The sequence below is a fragment of the Homo sapiens genome, chromosome 9, assembly GCF_000001405.40.
Source record: "Homo sapiens chromosome 9, GRCh38.p14 Primary Assembly".
Lineage (NCBI taxonomy): Eukaryota > Metazoa > Chordata > Mammalia > Primates > Hominidae > Homo > Homo sapiens.
Genome location: NC_000009.12, coordinates 127,445,936 through 127,462,680, shown reverse-complemented (window position 1 = coordinate 127,462,680; position 16,745 = coordinate 127,445,936). Strand labels below are relative to the sequence as shown.

At 51.9% G+C, this 16,745-nt stretch overlaps 2 protein-coding genes and 1 non-coding gene across 13 annotated transcripts in view, besides 5 other annotated features; 2 read left to right on the top strand and 1 right to left on the bottom strand.

Moving 5' to 3' along the window:
• Positions 1 to 11,195, bottom strand: part of LRSAM1 (leucine rich repeat and sterile alpha motif containing 1) — a 52,016-nt gene extending 40,821 nt beyond the window's left edge. For 6 of the 11 annotated variants that reach the window (NR_168892.1, NR_168891.1, NM_001005373.4 and 3 more), the window contains exons 1-9: positions 11,012 to 11,171; positions 10,597 to 10,752; positions 8,082 to 8,185; positions 7,627 to 7,683; positions 7,061 to 7,105; positions 5,288 to 5,365; positions 3,610 to 3,678; positions 1,424 to 1,508; positions 308 to 429 (exon numbers count right to left, since the gene is read on the bottom strand). Coding sequence is in view for 7 of the 11 variants with exons in the window: in NM_001005373.4 (NP_001005373.1) it covers positions 308 to 429; positions 1,424 to 1,508; positions 3,610 to 3,678; positions 5,288 to 5,365; positions 7,061 to 7,105; positions 7,627 to 7,683; positions 8,082 to 8,153 (528 nt within the window). In the remaining 4 variants the exon portion in view is untranslated. Of the gene's footprint in view, positions 1 to 307; positions 430 to 1,423; positions 1,509 to 3,609; positions 3,679 to 5,287; positions 5,366 to 7,060; positions 7,106 to 7,626; positions 7,684 to 8,081; positions 9,203 to 10,381; positions 10,427 to 10,596 lie in introns of those variants that run through there. The other 5 variants (XM_047424058.1, NM_001384142.1, NM_138361.5 and 2 more) reach the window with 4 other exon arrangements.
• Positions 7,265 to 7,314: an enhancer, noted in NCBI's record as "active region_29042". NCBI's record gives its function as "activates an Ori minimal core promoter by ATAC-STARR-seq in GM12878 lymphoblastoid cells {active_cell/tissue: GM12878}" and the evidence as "EXISTENCE:reporter gene assay evidence [ECO:0000049][PMID:35858748]".
• Positions 11,109 to 11,508: an enhancer, noted in NCBI's record as "active region_29041". NCBI's record gives its function as "activates an Ori minimal core promoter by ATAC-STARR-seq in GM12878 lymphoblastoid cells {active_cell/tissue: GM12878}" and the evidence as "EXISTENCE:reporter gene assay evidence [ECO:0000049][PMID:35858748]".
• Positions 11,275 to 15,007, top strand: RPL12 (ribosomal protein L12). The gene is made up of 7 exons (NM_000976.4): positions 11,275 to 11,400; positions 11,877 to 11,950; positions 12,973 to 13,071; positions 13,319 to 13,400; positions 14,258 to 14,344; positions 14,692 to 14,804; positions 14,955 to 15,007. Exons 1-7 carry the CDS (start codon positions 11,364 to 11,366, stop codon positions 14,958 to 14,960), a joined length of 498 nt encoding a protein of 165 aa, NP_000967.1. The 5' UTR covers positions 11,275 to 11,363; the 3' UTR covers positions 14,961 to 15,007.
• Positions 11,474 to 12,017: an enhancer, noted in NCBI's record as "NANOG-H3K27ac-H3K4me1 hESC enhancer chr9:130212943-130213486 (GRCh37/hg19 assembly coordinates)". NCBI's record gives its function as "activates a minimal SCP1, AML or CMV promoter by ChIP-STARR-seq in primed H9 embryonic stem cells {active_cell/tissue: H9 hESC(primed)}" and the evidence as "EXISTENCE:reporter gene assay evidence [ECO:0000049][PMID:30033119]".
• Positions 12,560 to 13,103: an enhancer, noted in NCBI's record as "NANOG-H3K27ac hESC enhancer chr9:130211857-130212400 (GRCh37/hg19 assembly coordinates)". NCBI's record gives its function as "activates a minimal SCP1, AML or CMV promoter by ChIP-STARR-seq in primed H9 embryonic stem cells {active_cell/tissue: H9 hESC(primed)}" and the evidence as "EXISTENCE:reporter gene assay evidence [ECO:0000049][PMID:30033119]".
• On the top strand, positions 14,044 to 14,179 carry SNORA65 (small nucleolar RNA, H/ACA box 65). The gene has a single exon (NR_002449.2). It is a non-coding gene; the product is annotated as a small nucleolar RNA, H/ACA box 65 (small nucleolar RNA).
• Positions 15,907 to 15,976: an enhancer, noted in NCBI's record as "active region_29040". NCBI's record gives its function as "activates an Ori minimal core promoter by ATAC-STARR-seq in GM12878 lymphoblastoid cells {active_cell/tissue: GM12878}" and the evidence as "EXISTENCE:reporter gene assay evidence [ECO:0000049][PMID:35858748]".

The window sequence follows — 16,745 nt, the reverse complement described above, 5'->3', positions numbered from 1 at the left end:
CTCCTCCGACAGGCCTCACTGTGTTGTTCCCCTACCGACAACTTTCTTAAAGTGTCAGCCTCTTCTGGATTCAGCATTCTTTCTTCTTCATTCTTAATGTATGTTTTTCTGCCTCTATTATGGCAGCAAAAGTCATATAATTACGAATGTTCACACATTGGCCTCTCTACAAGCCTCCAAGGACCATGCCTTGGGATCTCTGTGTGGCCCTGGTACCGTGAGATCAGAGCAAGCACTCAGTAATGTGGGAGAGAGGGGAGGTGGGCAGGCCAGAGAGCACCCCAGGCAAGAACAGCTTCCCATTTACCTCCAGGGTTCGAACGTGAGCCAGCATCTGCGGCAATCTCTGGATCTCGTTTCCACTGATGTTGAGGGTACGCAGGCTTCGAAGCTCCCCCACGGTGTCTGGAAGCTCCTTCAGCTTGTTGTCTGCAGAGACCCCAATAGCACAGCTCAACACCCCAAATCCCCATCACCAGCTTCCTGCCTGATGCCCGCTGGGAGCCACTCTGACCTCTAGGGCACACAACAGATCCTGGGCTCTGAGGTTTCCTAGGCTCAAGAAGGTGGAGTTCCAGTTCAAGTCCCCACTCCACCAATTACTAGCCAAGAGACTTTAGACAACTGGCTTTGCCTCCTTGTGCCAGTTTTCTCACCTGGAAAATGGGGATGACACTGCCACCCAGCCTTATAAGAACACGGGGAGATTGGAGGTTCAGGTAGATGATGTGTGAGGTCCTCCGCACAGGGCCCCTCATGCTGTAATGGCTGAGCAATGGGGCGCCACTGTTGTTCTCATTACTCATATGTTACAGTTGATAAACAGAGGCACTCTGCAGGAAGTGCTTAAGGACAGCCAGGAGAAGGGAGAGAGCTGGGTGTGGCGAGCAGAGCGCTCCTGCGGGTAAGGCGCCTGTGCAGTGGTCTTGGCTCTGTCACCATCCCACGGGGTGGTCTTGAGCAAGTCACACTTGATTTCCCGGGCCTTGTTTTCCTCGTGTGTAAACTGGGGATGGCACCACTGCCCTCAGCCTGCCCAGTGGACTCCTCAGGAGGCTTGGTGCGTCGCTGGAGGTGGAAGCACTGCTCAGAACCTTACTGCGGCTCCTTAGGAGCTCTCGCCCCATCAGTCCTCTACACTCACCATTATAAATATGAGTGACTGAGGCTCGGGGCCCAGCTGCCCTCCTCCCCATACGGCCATACGGCCCTGGCTCTCAGGAGCCACAGGAACCCTCCAGACAGCCTGTCTCTGGTTACCATGAAGACAGCTGACCCAGCAGGGGTCAGTCCATTTACAGCGACCCCCGGAGACTGGCTGCCCTCCTGCTCAATGGCTCCCGGGCGGGGCAGCCTGTGGATCCCGGCCAGGATGGCCCAGAGCTGATGGAGGGTCACACGGACACGGCTTCTTGGTCCCTACCTTTAACATTGAGAGTCTGGAGCTGGGTCAGGTTCCCAATGGAACGTGGGAGCTGCATCAGTTGATTCCTTTCCACGTTTAAGACCTAAGAAAGAGGAAGAGGCAGCCAGGCGCAGTGGCTTATGCCTGTAATCCCAGCACTTTGGGAGGCCGAGGCAGGTGGATCACAAGGTCAAGAGTTCAAGACCAGCCTGGCCAACATAGTGAAATCCCATCTCTACTAAAAATACAAAAATTAGCTGGGCATGGTGGCACACACCTGTAGTCCCAGCTACTCGGGAGGCTGAGGCAGGAGAATTGCTTGAACCCAGGAGGCAGAGGTTGCGGTGAGCTGAGATTGCACCATTGCACTCCGGCCTGGGCAACAGAGTGAGACTCCGTCTCAAAAAAAAAAAAAAAAAAAAAAAAAAGAAAGAAACAGGAAGAGGTGACACGAGAACCCACACACAGACCACAGTGATGACCCCCGCACCCCTCGCCCTGCCGGGCCAGGGCACCCAGGCACTACACACACAAGCTCTTATCTCCCCCTACCGGCCCTTGAGGAAGACAGAAATTCTTGTTTCCGCTGGAGACAGGAAAAAAACTGAAGCTCAGGGTGGCAAAGTCACGTGCTCAGGAGAGCACAGCCAGGCCTTGAACCCCTTCTGGCTGAGGTTCCAGCACTTACACCGACCACAAAATGCTCAGTAACTGCCCCACCATCAGGGAAGGAGGGAGAAGGGGACTACAGACTTGGGGATCTGGGGAGGCAGCACAGGAGGCTCTAGTTCCCCTGGCCTTAAGGAAAAGGCTGCCCTAAGGCCGTGTGATCCACCCAAGGCCTCAGGCCGGCAGTGGTGCTGGGACTGAACCAGGGCTTGTTGGATTCCGAAGCTGTGCTCCCTCCAGAAGGTGGTACCTCGAGGTGAGCAAGGCTAGCAGGATGACACACTAACCATTAAAAATAGATGCAATGGGGGCCAGGCACGGTGGCTAACACCTGTAATCCCAGCACTTTGGGAGGCTGAGGTGGGTGGATCATGAGATCAGGAGATTGAGACCATCCTGGTGAACATGGTGAAACCCCGTCTCTACTAAAATATAAAAAATTAGCCAGGCATAGTGGTGGGCGCCTGTAATTCCAGCTACTTAGGAGGCTGAGGCAGGGGAATCGCTTGAACCCGGGAGGTGGAGATTGCAGTGAGCCGAGATCACACCACTGCACTCCAGCCTGGTGATAGAGCGAGACTCTATCTCAAAAATACAAACAAACAAAAAATGATGCAATGGAAAGCTAAGTAGCCATTAAAAATAATAAGATGAATATTTGATGAACCAAAGGATGCTATGAGTTATTGTCAGGTATCCAAAAGTTACAAATTAGTGAATGCAGCAATTCTATAAAAATACACCTACTGGCCAGGTGCAGTGGCTCATGCCTGTAATTCCAGCACTTTGGGAGGCCAAGACGGGTGGATCACCTGAGGCCAGGAGTTTGAGGTCAGCCTGGCCAACATGGTGAAAACAAGTCTCTACTGAAAATACAAAAATTGTCCAGGTGTGGTGGCGTGTGCCTGTAATCCCAGATACTCAGGAGGCTGAGGCATGAGAATCTCTTGAACCCGGGAGGCAGATGTTGCAGTGAGTTGAGATGGTGCCACTGCACTCCAGCCTGGGTGACAAGAGTGAGAAAAAAAAAATACACATACAAAAAGTCCTACACCAAGGTATTTATTGTGGCTCAAAGTGGTACAATTGGTCAGGCGTGGTGGCTCACACCTGTAATCCCAGCACTTTGGGAGGCCAAAGTGAGTGGATAACTTGAGGTCAGGAGTTTGAGACCAGTCAGGCCAACAAGGCGAAACACCATCTCTACTAAAAATACAAAAACTAGCTGGGAGTGGTGGCACACACCTGTAATCCCAGCTACTAGGGAGGCTGAGGCAGGAGAATCGCTTGAACTCGGGAGGCAGAGGTTGCCTCTGCAACTCTGATGGCGCCACTGCACCCCAGCCTGGGCAACGCAGTGAGGCACTGCCTCAAAAAAAAAAAAAAAAACCCCAAAGGGCCAAGGGGAGGGTGGAGCTGGCACTGATTGCAGCCTGCTTCCACTGGCTGGAGCCCGGCCAGAACATTCCAGGCTTGAGTGACTGCCTGGTCTCACTAAGGCCATCCGAGGTGGGTTTCTGTTTCTGCAGCCTTACCTGGAGGGCAGTCAGCTGCCCCAGATCGTCAGGAAGGGCTGTCAGCTGATTATCGTGGAGATCTAGAACCTGCAGAAGAAAGACCCCTGTGAGTCTCCAAGTGAGAAAGTCCCTCAGACTCCGGGCTCCAGAGCGCTGAGGAGGGGCTGGGGCCACCTCACACCCCCAGTGCAGAAACAGAGTGCCTGCCACTCCTTTCCCACTCAGTGTTGATCATTCCCGCCTCATTTTCCTTCTCAAACCATTATACCATTTTCTTATTTTATGTATATTTATTTTTACTGTTAACTGAAAAACTATGCTATAAAACAGTATGCCTAGATACTAATATGTTAAAAAGAAACACTCCATTGTATAAATATGTAAGACTTTCAAATATGCGATAAAATATTGACAGTGGTACTCCACAGTGTAAAATTATAGATGTTTCCCCCTTTGCTTAACTGTACTTGCTAATTTTTAATTTAATTTTATTTTATTTTGTTTTATTTTGAGACAGAGTCTCACTCTGTCACCCAGGCTGGAGTGCAGTGGCACGACCTCAGCTCACTGCAACCTCCACCTCCTGGGTTCAAGTGATTCTCGTGCCTCAGCCTCCCAAGTAGCTGGGATTACAAGCACAAGCCAACATGCTCTGCTGGTGTTTTTTTTTGTTTTGTTTTGTTTTGTTTTGTTTTGTTTTTGAGACGAAGTCTCGCTCTGTCGCCCACGCCGGACTGCGGACTGCAGTGGCGCAATCTCGGCTCACTGCAAGCTCCGCTTCCCGGGTTCACGCCATTCTCCTGCCTCAGCCTCCCGAGTAGCTGGGACTACAGGCGCCCGCCACCGCGCCCGGCTAATTTTTTGTATTTTTAGTAGAGACGGGGTTTCACCATGTTGGCCAGGCTGGTCTTGAACTCCTGACCTCAAGTGACCCACCCGCCTTGGCCTCCCAAAGTGCTAGGATTATGGGTGTGAGCCACCACGACTGACTGCTAATTTTTTAAAAATGAAAATGCACAAAAAAGGCCTTGGAGAAATATTTATACATGTGCACACACAGGTACCCTCCATATCTATGGATTCAACCAAACTCAGGTGCAAAATATTAAAAAAAAAAAAAAGAAAGAAAGCATCTGTAGTGAACACATACAGGCTTTTCTCTTGTCATTATTCCCTAAACAATATAGTATAACAGATTGGGCCTGTGCTGCTGGGCTGACACCTGTGCTGCCGGCCTCCTCTGAAGGTGCATATCACTCTCCCAAGCTCAGGTCTGCGCATAACAACCCTGGGCTCACACCTCCCACATGTTGTGAATGCCTCCCAGCCCATCCGGGGAGGAGCTCACAGTCAGCAGGGAGTCCTTCCAGATCACCTGCGCGTCCCTCCTCTTCCTTCTTGCCTGGGACCATCAGTCTCCTCGCCCTCTGCTAGCTGACTCGCCATGAGGCTGTCACTTGGCTTTCCTCCTGGCATGTAAACTCCCCAGGGACAGGGCCTGTGGCTGGTCATCTTTGTCACCCTAACCCACACACAGCCCACAGAAGTATCCAGTAAACCATACTGATCAAATCCCAGACTGACTGGTAGATTGGGCCCCTCTGACATGCAAGAGGCAGCCCAAAAGGAGCAGGCGCTCAGCTGCCGCGTGGAACCCCATGCAGAGCCCCAGCTGCCTGGGAGGAGGGCCCAGTACCTTGATGGTTGCCAGACTCAGGAGGCTGCAGGATTTGGGAAGCAGGGAAGTGAGGTGATTCGTGTGGACGATCAGCACCTGTGTGGAGAGATGTGCGGCCATGCTGGGCTGAGGAAGAGCAGCAGGCAGGGCAGGCTAAGGGCGTGGGAGCCAGCCCAGCGCCGTGCCACGCCCCACCATCTTGCTCTCCCAGACACCACCACGGGGATGCGGGTCAGTATCATGAACTCTCCCAATGGGGAATCTAATGCCCTTCCTTAAAACCTGGATCTTCAAGGGTGAAAGAGACCTTAGAGGTCTACATCTTCCTTCCATCTGAGAAGGGATCCCCCTGCAGCCATCCTGATCATAACCTTCCCAGCACCAGCGTCTTCACGTGGAAAATAGAGAATAATAAAGTGCTTGCCTCCCAGGGCTGCCATGATGTTAAATAAAAGCTCATGCGCAAAACTTCCAGGGCTGGCAGAGGGGCCAGGGCTCAGTCCAGGTCATCTACTGCTATTTTTCCTTTTCTTTTTTTTTTTTTTTGAGACCAACTCTTGCTCTGTCGCCCAAGCTGGAGTGCAGTGGTGTGATCTCAGCTCACTGCAACCTCCGCCTCCCAGGTTCAAGCAATTCTCCTGTCTCGCCCTCCCGAGTAGCTGGGACTACAGGCGCATGCCACCACACCCAGCTGATTTTTTTTTTATTTTTGGTAGAGACCGGGTTTCACCATGGTAGCCAGGATGGTCTTGATCTCCTGACCTCGTGATCTGCCCACCTCGGCCTCCCGAAGTGCTGGGATTACAGGCATGAGCCACCGCACCCGGCCAATCTACTGCATTTTTCTTAGGCATTGACTGCGGCCCAACACTTCCAGCACAGACTGGGCGTGGTGGCTCACACCTGTAATCCCAGCACTTTGGCAGGCTAAGGCAGGTGGATCACTTGAGGTCAGGAGTTCGAGACCAGCCTGGCCAACATGGCAAAACCTCATCTCTAAAAATACAAAAATTAGTTGGGCATGGTGGTGGGCGCCTATAATCCCAGCTACTCAGGAGGCTGAGGCAGGAGAATTGCTTGAACCCAGGAGGCGGAGGTTTCAGTGAGCTGAGATTGCACCACTGCACTCCAGCCTGGGTGACAGAGCAGAGCGTCCGTCTTCAAAAAAAAAAAAAAACAAACAAAACTTCCAGCGCCAAGGAGCTCACTACTCTGTTGGCAGGGAACACTTTTTTTTTTTTTTTTTTTTGCATATTCTCATTTAGATACTTCACTTAGAGCGCTTCTACCCATCTGCATTCAAAGCTGCAATGCTCTGCTGAAAAATCATTCACTCCCCTCTGAATCTCCCCTGGGTGACCAGAATAAAAGGCGTGAGTTTCTATTATTACTAACACCGGGGTTCATAAGCCTTTACTACGTGGTAGGCATGTACACTCAGTATATTTCTATCTCTATCTAGCTATCTACCACTCATTTAATTCTCACAATACCTCAGGAAGGAGAACTATGAATGTCTTCATTTCACAGGGGAAGAAACTGAGAAGTAAGAGTTTAAGGAAGTTGCCCAAGTCATGAAGCCAGTGAGGGCAGAGTTAGAATGTGACACAGGAAGGTCCAACCCCAAAGCCTACTCTCCTATCTGTGAAAACACCTGCTGCAGGCCAAGAGCATAAGAAGCAGAGAGAAAGGAGGTGTCTACGCCGGGAAGACAGCTCCTCAAAGTCCCTTGTGGGTTCAAACAAGCAGACATGCAACAAGAAAGTCTCTGAAGATGAAGCTCCATCTTACCTTCTTCTGCAGAACTTTGCATGTTGCAAAAGCTCCAAATGGAATCTAAGATAAGATAAAGAAGAGTAAGTGTCTCCCCTCCTGCCAGTTTTTAGCTTGTTCTCTGAGTGGCATTCACGTGAGGAAGAGACAGGCAGGAGGTGAACAAGGGCAAAACGCCACAGCAGGTGGCAGTGCTGAGCCCAGGGGCAAGGCTGGCAAGCAGTGGTGTTGGGGATGTGGCCAGCCCTTCCCTCGGTCAGCTGGCAGGAGACTGCCCTGCCCCACCCACCCTGTCCCCATTGTGAACCCCTTCAGGGGCTGGAGAATGCCAGGCCCTTCCAGCAATGTAGGAGTCTATGGGTACATTTTCTACCTAGACTCCTTGACTCTTGGAGACTACGTTATATTGAGGCCAAAGGATCATCTTCAATTATTTTGGACGAGAACAAAATCTAAGGAAACATCTCGTGACTAGAGCTTCTGGCCTTTCTAAAGCCCCAGTCCACCTCTGTCTTTCCTAGGGACACAAGATCCAAGAAAACGGGACAGATCCAATTCACAGCCCAACACTATCCTCAGTTTACCTCTGAGAGCTCACATTTAGAGATGTCGAGAATGTCATCTGCCCCAGCTTCTTTTGCCTAAGGATAAAAAGAATTTTTAAAAAGTATTAAGACAAAACACCTTTGCAGAGTGGACAAGCCAGGCAAAGAACATAAATGTAAGCAGCTGCAAAGGACCATAGACACTATCTGGTTCCACTGGTCCATTTGGCAGGTGAACCAATGACCCCTGCTTTCCCAGAGCTTGAGGCCCAGAGGGATGAGGAACTGAAAAGCAATGACAGTGCGCTCAGTCTACAGGGGAGAAGCACCCTTGGCAGGGGGCCTCATCTGTTGGGTCTAAGTCAAATATTTCTTCTGTGGGTGGGGGAGGCAGATGGGAAGGAGCACGGCTTGTTGGGGGCAGTGCGGAGGCCTACTCCATGGGGACCGAGGAGGAGATGGGATAGAGTTAGAGGAAACCCACTTTCCCTCACCAAACACATCTGGTACTCCAGGCGTTTCCGAGCCTCCTCACTGGGTTTCCGCTTCCGGAAGAAGAGCGGCATCCTTCCCTTTTCCCAGAGCGATCTTTAGGACCCTGGGGCACAGGAGAGAAGTTAGGGACTGGGGAATTTGTCACAGCCCCCAACACCCGGGACAGGTAGTGCAGTAACACAGAGCATGCAGCTGGTCTGCTGGACCATGAGTTCCATGGAGGCAGGGGCTGTGTCTCCCTAGTGAGTTCCACGGAGGCAGCGGCTGGGTCTTTCTAGAGAGTTCCATGGAGGCAGCAACTTTCTAGTGAGTTCCATGGGGGCAGAGGCTGCATCTTTTTAGTGAGTTCCACGGGGGCAGAGGCTGCGACTTTCCAGTGAGTTCCACGGGGTCAGGGACAGCGTCTTTCTAGTGAGTTTCACGGAGGCAGGGGCTGCGTCTTTCTAGTGAGTTCCACGGGGGCAGGGGCTGCGTCTTTCTAGTGAGTTCCACGGGGGCAGGGGCTGCGTCTTTCTAGTGAGTTCCACGGGGGCAGGGGCTGCGTCTTTCTATTGAGTTCCATGGAGGCAGGGGCTGTGTCTTTCTAGTGAGTTCCATGGGGTAAGGGTCAGTGTCTTTCTAGCGAGTTCCATGGAGCCAGGGACTGCGTCTTCCTAGTTTCATGGAGTTCCATGGGGGCAGGGGCCACATCTTTCTAGTGAGTTCCATGGGGTCAGGGGCCACATCTTTCTAGTGAATTCCATGAGGTGAGGGGCTGCGTCTTTCTAGTTCTTCCATCTGTGTCCTGAGCCCACAGCAGGCACTCAGTACTCCTTGTTCTTTGTTGACTAAACATTGAGCAGCAGGATGAGGTGGAGACAGACAAGCCAGATGACCTGGGTTGGGGCCCATATTTGCCACCGACCCATAGTGAGGCCTTGGCATTATCCTTTTCCTGTTCTAGGGAAACTTAGAGACGTTTCCTCAGGTGCTTTCCAAGGCTGTTCTTTGAGGACTCTAACAGACTCTGCCAATGAATCACTTCTAGCCCCCCAAACGCTGTCAGAGCAGGATCAGCAGGAGCAATCCAGAGCCAGCCAGGACCTCAGGGAGCTCAACTACATCATGACCAAAGAGACCTCTGCGGTGAATACAAATTAAAAAGCAATTCTCAGCTTACCACCCTCGTTATTATTCCATTTTGTTCTCACCATAACCCTTTTTAAAGTGAAGAAACACGCCGGGTGTGGTGGCTCATGCCTGTAATCCCAGCACTTTGGGAGGCCAAGACAGGTGGGTCACTTGAGCCCAGGAGTTCGAGACCAGCCTGGGTAACATGGTCAAACCCCGTCTCTACTAAAAATACACAAAGAAGCTGGGCGTGGTGATATGCGCCTGTAGTCCCAGCCACTTGGAAGGCTGAGGAACGAGAATTGCTTGAACCCAGGAGGCAGAGGTTGCAGTGAGCCAAGATCATGCCACTGCACTCCAGCCTGGGTGACAGAGGGAGTCTCTGTCTCAGAAAATAATAATAAATAAATAAATAAAGTGAAGAAGTAGATGCTTATTAAGTTCAGTGGCCTGGCTGTACAGCCTGGATTGCAGCCTGGAACCGTGGTCTCTCAAGTCCTGACCTATGGGATTTGCCCGACTGCTTGGTGCTCACATAACTTGGCACACACGAAGTACACTGTCCTGAACTCAGAGCCAGGTGCTCACTGCCTGCCCAGGGCCTGCACAGTGTCTGTAAATACCAGAGCTGGATAAGGGATGGCAATGAGCCAGGAGGCAATCACCCAGGGAAGTGCATGGTGAGCAGCACAGGCTTTGGGATGAAAAGAGAACTGGGTTTGAATCCGAAATCTGCCACCCACAACTGCAGAGGTCACCTTGGTTCACCTCTCAGAGCCTCAGTTTCCTCATCTGTAAAGTGTGAGTAACCATGCTACCAACACTGGCTTCTATGAGGATCCAGCGACTTCATGTATGTCAAGCCCCTAGTACAGTACCTGGCACATGAGCGCTCAATAAATGTTAGCCACAAAGCAACCCACATGCAAGCAACATTGATTCAGGGCCCGCTAGAGGAGCTAGGGAGAAGATAGTCATGGGAGGAGATGCAGTTGAAGAAGACATACACCCAGTCCTCAGAGGGATGGGCAAAGATGGCAGCTCTGCACCCACGGGGGCGGGGCTGTCTGGGGAGGCAGCCAGGCCTGCAGAGCCAGTTCAGGCCCTCTTGTCACCCCACCTGCCTGCAAGGATGGGGAATGGTTTGAAAACAGCCCTCCCCCATCCGTCCCTGATGACCAGCACTTACCCTTCTGCTCCCCAATCACTAACCCTCTTGCACCCCCTTCCTGATGTGCAGCCCTCCCCACTTCCTCCCAACCACCATCGCTCTCCCACCCCTCCCCGAAGATCAGTTCTTTCCAGGCTGCCCCACATGCCTGTCCCTCCCTCTCCGACGTCCAGCCTAGATGCGGGGGGAGGGCCACACCCATATTTCCTGGGGTGGGGTGGGCAGTGGCTGACCTGGCTTTGCGGATGGAGGGATCCCCCACGTTGGGACCCGCGGGTGCACCCGAGGGCAGGCCGATCACTCGGAGGGCTTGGTCACGGACTCGGGGCCGCAGACCACCCGGCACGGGCCGGGCGGAGCCGGAGTCTGGTCTCCTTCAAAGGCAGGTGCTGGGAACAGAAACTCAGAATCTCATAAAGTCACGCAGACCGGGATGACGAAGTCTGAGGCTCTAGGAATCGCGGACTCTCCGAATGAAGAGCGGGACTGGATTTCCACATAGACTGTTTTGATAACTAAAGTGCACACAACAAGTGCTCGAGGGAGCAGGGGTCGCCGCGGTACTGGGGTCTCGGAATGGGACTACGGACCCCTCAGGGGAGGGGCGGGGCTCTGGGATTGGGTGACGGGGACCGGGGTGACACTCACGATAAAGGAATATGGGAAACAGCTAGGGCTGGGATCACCGGAGCCACCCTTCTCAGACTTCTCCGGAGCGAACTACCCGAACCCCCTTTCGGAATCTCTAGCTTCAGCGCACCGCGGTGCCCTGCTTGCCAGCCGTCAGCCTCAGGCGCCTGCCCACAACAAACATGGCGACAAGGGCGTCTCTGGAAGGCCGGGCAGTGACGACAGTTCTCGCGATAGCCGCGTTTTCCTGCCTATATCTGGCTTGTCCGCGCGATTTCCGGCCTCTCGGCTTTCGGCTCGGAGGAGGCCAAGGTGCAACTTCCTTCGGTCGTCCCGAATCCGGGTTCATCCGACACCAGCCGCCTCCACCATGCCGCCGAAGTTCGACCCCAACGAGATCAAAGTCGGTGCGTGCTCTGGTTGTGGCCGGGGCTGCGGGATGGAGCATCCCTCGGCCCTGCCGCGCGTGCAAAGCTTTCCCCGTATGGGGCTCTTAAAGCCGCTGCCTCCCAGAGACCTTCCCGGTGTTGCGCCGCCCCGGCCAAGCCTCAGCCTTTCTGGGCCTTAGCTTCTTCACGTGTAGGTGGGGAGGGAGGACTGGACCACCTGTGGCGGCTTGGGAGCCCGCACGCCCTAGGGTAAGGCTTGTCTCCGGGCGTTTCGCCCCATTGGCCTGGGTTAGCGGGCGACGGGGCTCTCTCCACGCCTCCCCGGTGTGAGTTTCGGAGCTGCCCACACCCGAGGGAGGAGCGGGTGGCCCGCCTCGCGCTCTGTGCTGTTTCGAGAAGAGGCAGAGGGTGGCGTGTCCAACCCCGGAAAGACGCTGAGAGGGCTGTGGCTCGGGGCTCCCTCTGCACAGACACTAACTCTTCTTTTCCCCCAGTATACCTGAGGTGCACCGGAGGTGAAGTCGGTGCCACTTCTGCCCTGGCCCCCAAGATCGGCCCCCTGGGTCTGGTACGTTATCCCCTCCAAGGGGCATTTTTTTCACATTTGTTTCACTTTAAGCGCCGGCTCGTGGAGTCACGCCTGTGCCAGAGGTGCCCTCGTGGCTTGGACTGTCACCCTCAGTAGGCCTGAGCCACTGAACAAGTACTAGGTACCTTAGGAAGGTCGTGTGTGAAAAATCGAACCTGGTGCCTTTAAATTGTAATTAGCTCCATGTGTCTCCACTGCTGCTTTAGTGTACCTGAGGGGTGGGCCCAAGGGGGAGTTTTGAAGTTAGGACTGGCTTAGAGACATTGGGCAGCCAACATCTGTATTTCCTCGTCAGGAAGTGGGCATGGCGTTGTTGGGAGATTAAACGGGGTGTGGGTGAAGATCCAGTGAGCGTTTCCAGCTGTGTTGTAGATGTAAACCTAGCAGTTAATGTGGCAGGCTGTGTCTCATGCCTGCTGAGCAACTGCTGGCTTCCCCGTCATTCTGTCCTCTTGGATTTCTCTGAATTTCATTAGGCCTTTATTTAATCCTTGCACAGTGCTCCCCTGCCCCAAATGCTCTTCCCCATTGGTCTTTTTTAACCTGTATCTTAACTATTCTTCCTTGGCCGTTAGCTGGCACTTAAGGGACACTTAGCCTCCTGTTGAGGCTAAGGATTACTAGAGGAGGAGAACTTCAGAGTAGCAAATAATCAGACCTCCATCCAGGAAGATGGACGTGGGTGGTCTGACATGGGAGCCTAGTATTTTGAAAGCTCCTTAGGTGATTCTAATGTCAGCAGGGCTGAAAATCCCCCTCCTTAAGCACATGGGCACTTAGGAGGGGGTCTAGGTTACATTGTGGCCAAGTCTGCAGTTTACAGTTCTGGACAAGAACCCCAACCCCCAATTTATGCTATGGTGATAGCTGTGCTCTGATTGAGAAGGTGCCCTTAGGTACTTGAGATAGCTTCCTTTGTTGCCAAGTGAGAAGTGGTGGGCAGGTTTCAAGGCTGTGGTTCACCTCTGGACACCATGTTGATTACATGCCTTTATTTCTAGTCTCCAAAAAAAGTTGGTGATGACATTGCCAAGGCAACGGGTGACTGGAAGGGCCTGAGGATTACAGTGAAACTGACCATTCAGAACAGACAGGCCCAGGTATTTGCTTGTGCTTGGTTTCGGGAGAGGAGGGTGGGGGGACAGGTAGCAACCCTCTGGGATTCCTGAAGAGTATTTCTGCCACCAGTGGTGAGCCGAGAGTGATTTCACCTTGTTGGGGAGGCTTTGTCAAGAGTACGGACCTAGGGCAAAGACTTGGACAGTGTGTGGCCATGATTTTTGAGAGCCAGCGTGCATGGCAGTATTCACTGGAGGTGGAGTATTCACTCAGGAATCTCTTCTGCAGATTGAGGTGGTGCCTTCTGCCTCTGCCCTGATCATCAAAGCCCTCAAGGAACCACCAAGAGACAGAAAGAAACAGAAAAACAGTAAGTTGTCTTTTCCCTAGTTTGGTTTTGGTAATGGTTTGTGAGATGTTTGATATATGTGGCTGTGTTTTCCCTTAAAGGAAACCTGGGGTTGACATGGGTATTGGGTGTTGATATGGTTAGGGCTGCTAGAGCCAGGTAGTATGAAAAAGTGCCACGTATGCTGGGTGGCTCACACCTGTAATCCCAGCACTGGGAGGCTGAGGCGGGTGGATCAGTTGAGATCAGGAGTTCGAGACCAGCCTGGCCAACATGGTGAAACCCCATCTCCACCAAAAAATACAAAATTAGCCTGGTGGTGCTCGCCTGTAGACCTGGCTACTCAGACGGCTGAGGCAGGAGAATCACTCGAACCCAGGAGGTGGAGGTTGTAGCAGTGAGCCAAGATTGTGCCACTGCACTCCAGCCTGGGTAACAGTGAGACTCCGTCTCAAAAAAAAAAAAAAAAGTGCCATGTAGTCCCTGTGTGGGGCAGGCCCCAATCAGTGCATGTGGGAGGAAGATGTCAGCAATAATGACCTATAATCAGGAGACCACATACAGGTGGCAGGTACTGGGCAGTTTAACTCCCTGGCAATTTAAGCTTGTCATTTCTCTAAAACAGTTTCTGCCATGTCAGATTTGTGAAGGCTTGGTTTTGCCCTCAGCCACCCGCCACTGCACCTGACCAGGTCTCTGTTGGCTGGTGCAATCCAGTGGTGAGCTGATAGTAAACCCCAGCTTAGGAAACAGGGTTGTTCTTCATGTGGATGACTCTGTGCCGAAAGCATGGGAACAGCCTAGAAATGAAATGAAGGACACATGATCTGCTTTGGCTTCAGACTTTAAAAGAGCTTTTGCTGTTTCCTCTTCTGCAGTTAAACACAGTGGGAATATCACTTTTGATGAGATTGTCAACATTGCTCGACAGATGCGGCACCGATCCTTAGCCAGAGAACTCTCTGGTAAGAGCAGGACAACATGTAACCGCCATAACTGTAGTTGTGTTTTTCACTGAGTGATAACATTCTTCTTACTTGAAGGGTGCTCAGTGAGACCCAAGATGGGGTGCAGTTTTCTGGGACTGAAAGGATGGATCGTAAATTGGATGTGTTTAATCTGGGCATCAAGGACCCATGGAAGCTTTGCATTCCGGGTTATGGAACTAGATGGAACTCTATATTCTATATTAGGGGAGCAGGAACCTCATTCCTTCCATTGCCTGCTATGAACCCCTTCAGTATTCCCCAGTATCTGCAGATTGTGAGGGACTGAGCCAGCACCTCCAATGCCACCATTTCTTTACTTAAAGGAACCATTAAAGAGATCCTGGGGACTGCCCAGTCAGTGGGCTGTAATGTTGATGGCCGCCATCCTCATGACATCATCGATGACATCAACAGTGGTGCTGTGGAATGCCCAGCCGTAAGTGACATTTTCATTGTTACAGTAGGGGTGAAAGGGGGGCCACCCAGTGTATTCACAGAGATAAGCTGGGAAGTTTTGGAAATGGTTACTGGTGGGGTGGGATAATCCTTTTAAACTTTTTACTGATTTTTTTTTTCTTTCCCACAGAGTTAAGCACAAAGGAAAACATTTCAATAAAGGATCATTTGACAACTGGTGGATTTTCTGGTGTGGCGTCTTCCTTGAGGGAGCTAGCTCCTTTGTGGGGTGGTCAGTGGGGTCAGGGTGGCAGAACCTGTGGAGAAGTAACAAGCACCTTGTGGTGGGTAACAAAACTGCCCTGTATGGGCTGGGCTGAGCTCAGAAAGGAAGCCTTTCTTTCCTTTTTTTTTTTTTGAGACAGAGTTTCGCTCGTTGCCCAGGCTGGAGTGCAATGGTGCAATCTCGGCTCACCACAACCTCTGCCTTCTAGATTCAAGCAATTCTCCAGCCTCAGCCTCCTAAGTAGCTGGGATTACAGGCACGTGCTAAAAGACAGGGTTTCTCCATGTTGGTCAGGTCAACTCCTGACCTCTTGATACGCCTGCCTTTGGCCTCCCAAAGTGTTGGGATTATAGGCATGAGCCACCATGCCTGGCCAGGAAGCACTTTTTGTAGACTATCATGAAGCCTTTCCTAAGAAATGCTCTAACAAAACCGGAACACATGGGGAGTGTAGCTCTCCATCCCCGACCAACTGAAGTTATGAGTGGGTTGGGGGCCCAGGATCCATTTTGCTAGCCATTCCAGTGCACAGCCAGGGCTCAGAACCACTGACCTGACCACTCTCCGAGTCCTGGACTAATTCTTTGGTCCTGTGAAAGTGAGGTTCACATCATCTGTTGAAGTAACTATAAACTGTTACTCCAACCTTTCCTCTGAACTCATGTGGCTTAAAGTATTTTCTGCTGTCTCACGTTTCTCAAGTCTCATCTTCCCACAGTTCTGTTCCTTCTGATGAACTTTATAGAGCCTGTGTTCATCACTCCCTTTTGTTTTGCGATGAACCCTAAAGCACTCCTGAGCAGCTTGAAGCACCACCTGGGAGAGGATTCTGGGTACTGGAGTAAAGGGAGTTGGAAGTTGTAGCCCAGAGAAATTGATTTCCCCTATATGACTCATTTCTTTGCACATTAGTTTTTGCCAGTGTCTCTAGATCAGTGCTTTTATGTCACCTCAGGTTGGAGAACTGCCTTAAGTGGAAAAGACTAACTACCTGGACCTCCTGAGTTAGGGATAGGATTCTATTTCAGATACAGTGGCTTGTGCCTCAATCCCAGCACTTTGGGAGGCTGTGGCAGGAGCATTCCTTGAGGTCAGGAATTAAGACCAGCCTGGGCAACATAGCCAGACACTTTTCTCCAAAAAACTAGCTGGGTATGGTGGTGTGTGTGCCTGGCTACTTAGGATGCTGAGGTAGGAGGGTGCAGGAGTGGAGACTTCAGCAAGCTATGATTGTACCACTGCACTCCAGCCTAGGTGACGAGAGTGAGGGGCTGGCACAAAAGCATTCCAGTGTCCTAGAAGGGACTACCAAGTCACCAAGGAAACAGACAGTAAGCAGGCCAAAGGCAAAAATCTGGATCTATAATACAAGGGGAACACAACTGTTCTCCATGAGGGAGAAGGGAGAATGAGGAGCCTGGGGCAGTTTATGACACCTGCCTCTGAGTCCAGCATGGCTGTCACACACCTCCCCATTCTCGGGGCTTCCTATTCTCCATGGAAAAGGATGTGCCTCTTGGTTCATTAGCAGCAAGCTCTACCCTCAACACCAGTAGCCTCTTTTTTTGTTGAGATGTGTGTGCTCTTTTTTTGTTGAGATGGAGTCTCGCTCTTGCCCAGGCTGGAGTGCAGTGTTGCAATCTTGGCCCACTGCAACCTCTGCCTCCTGGGTTCAAGTGATTCTCCTGCTTCAGC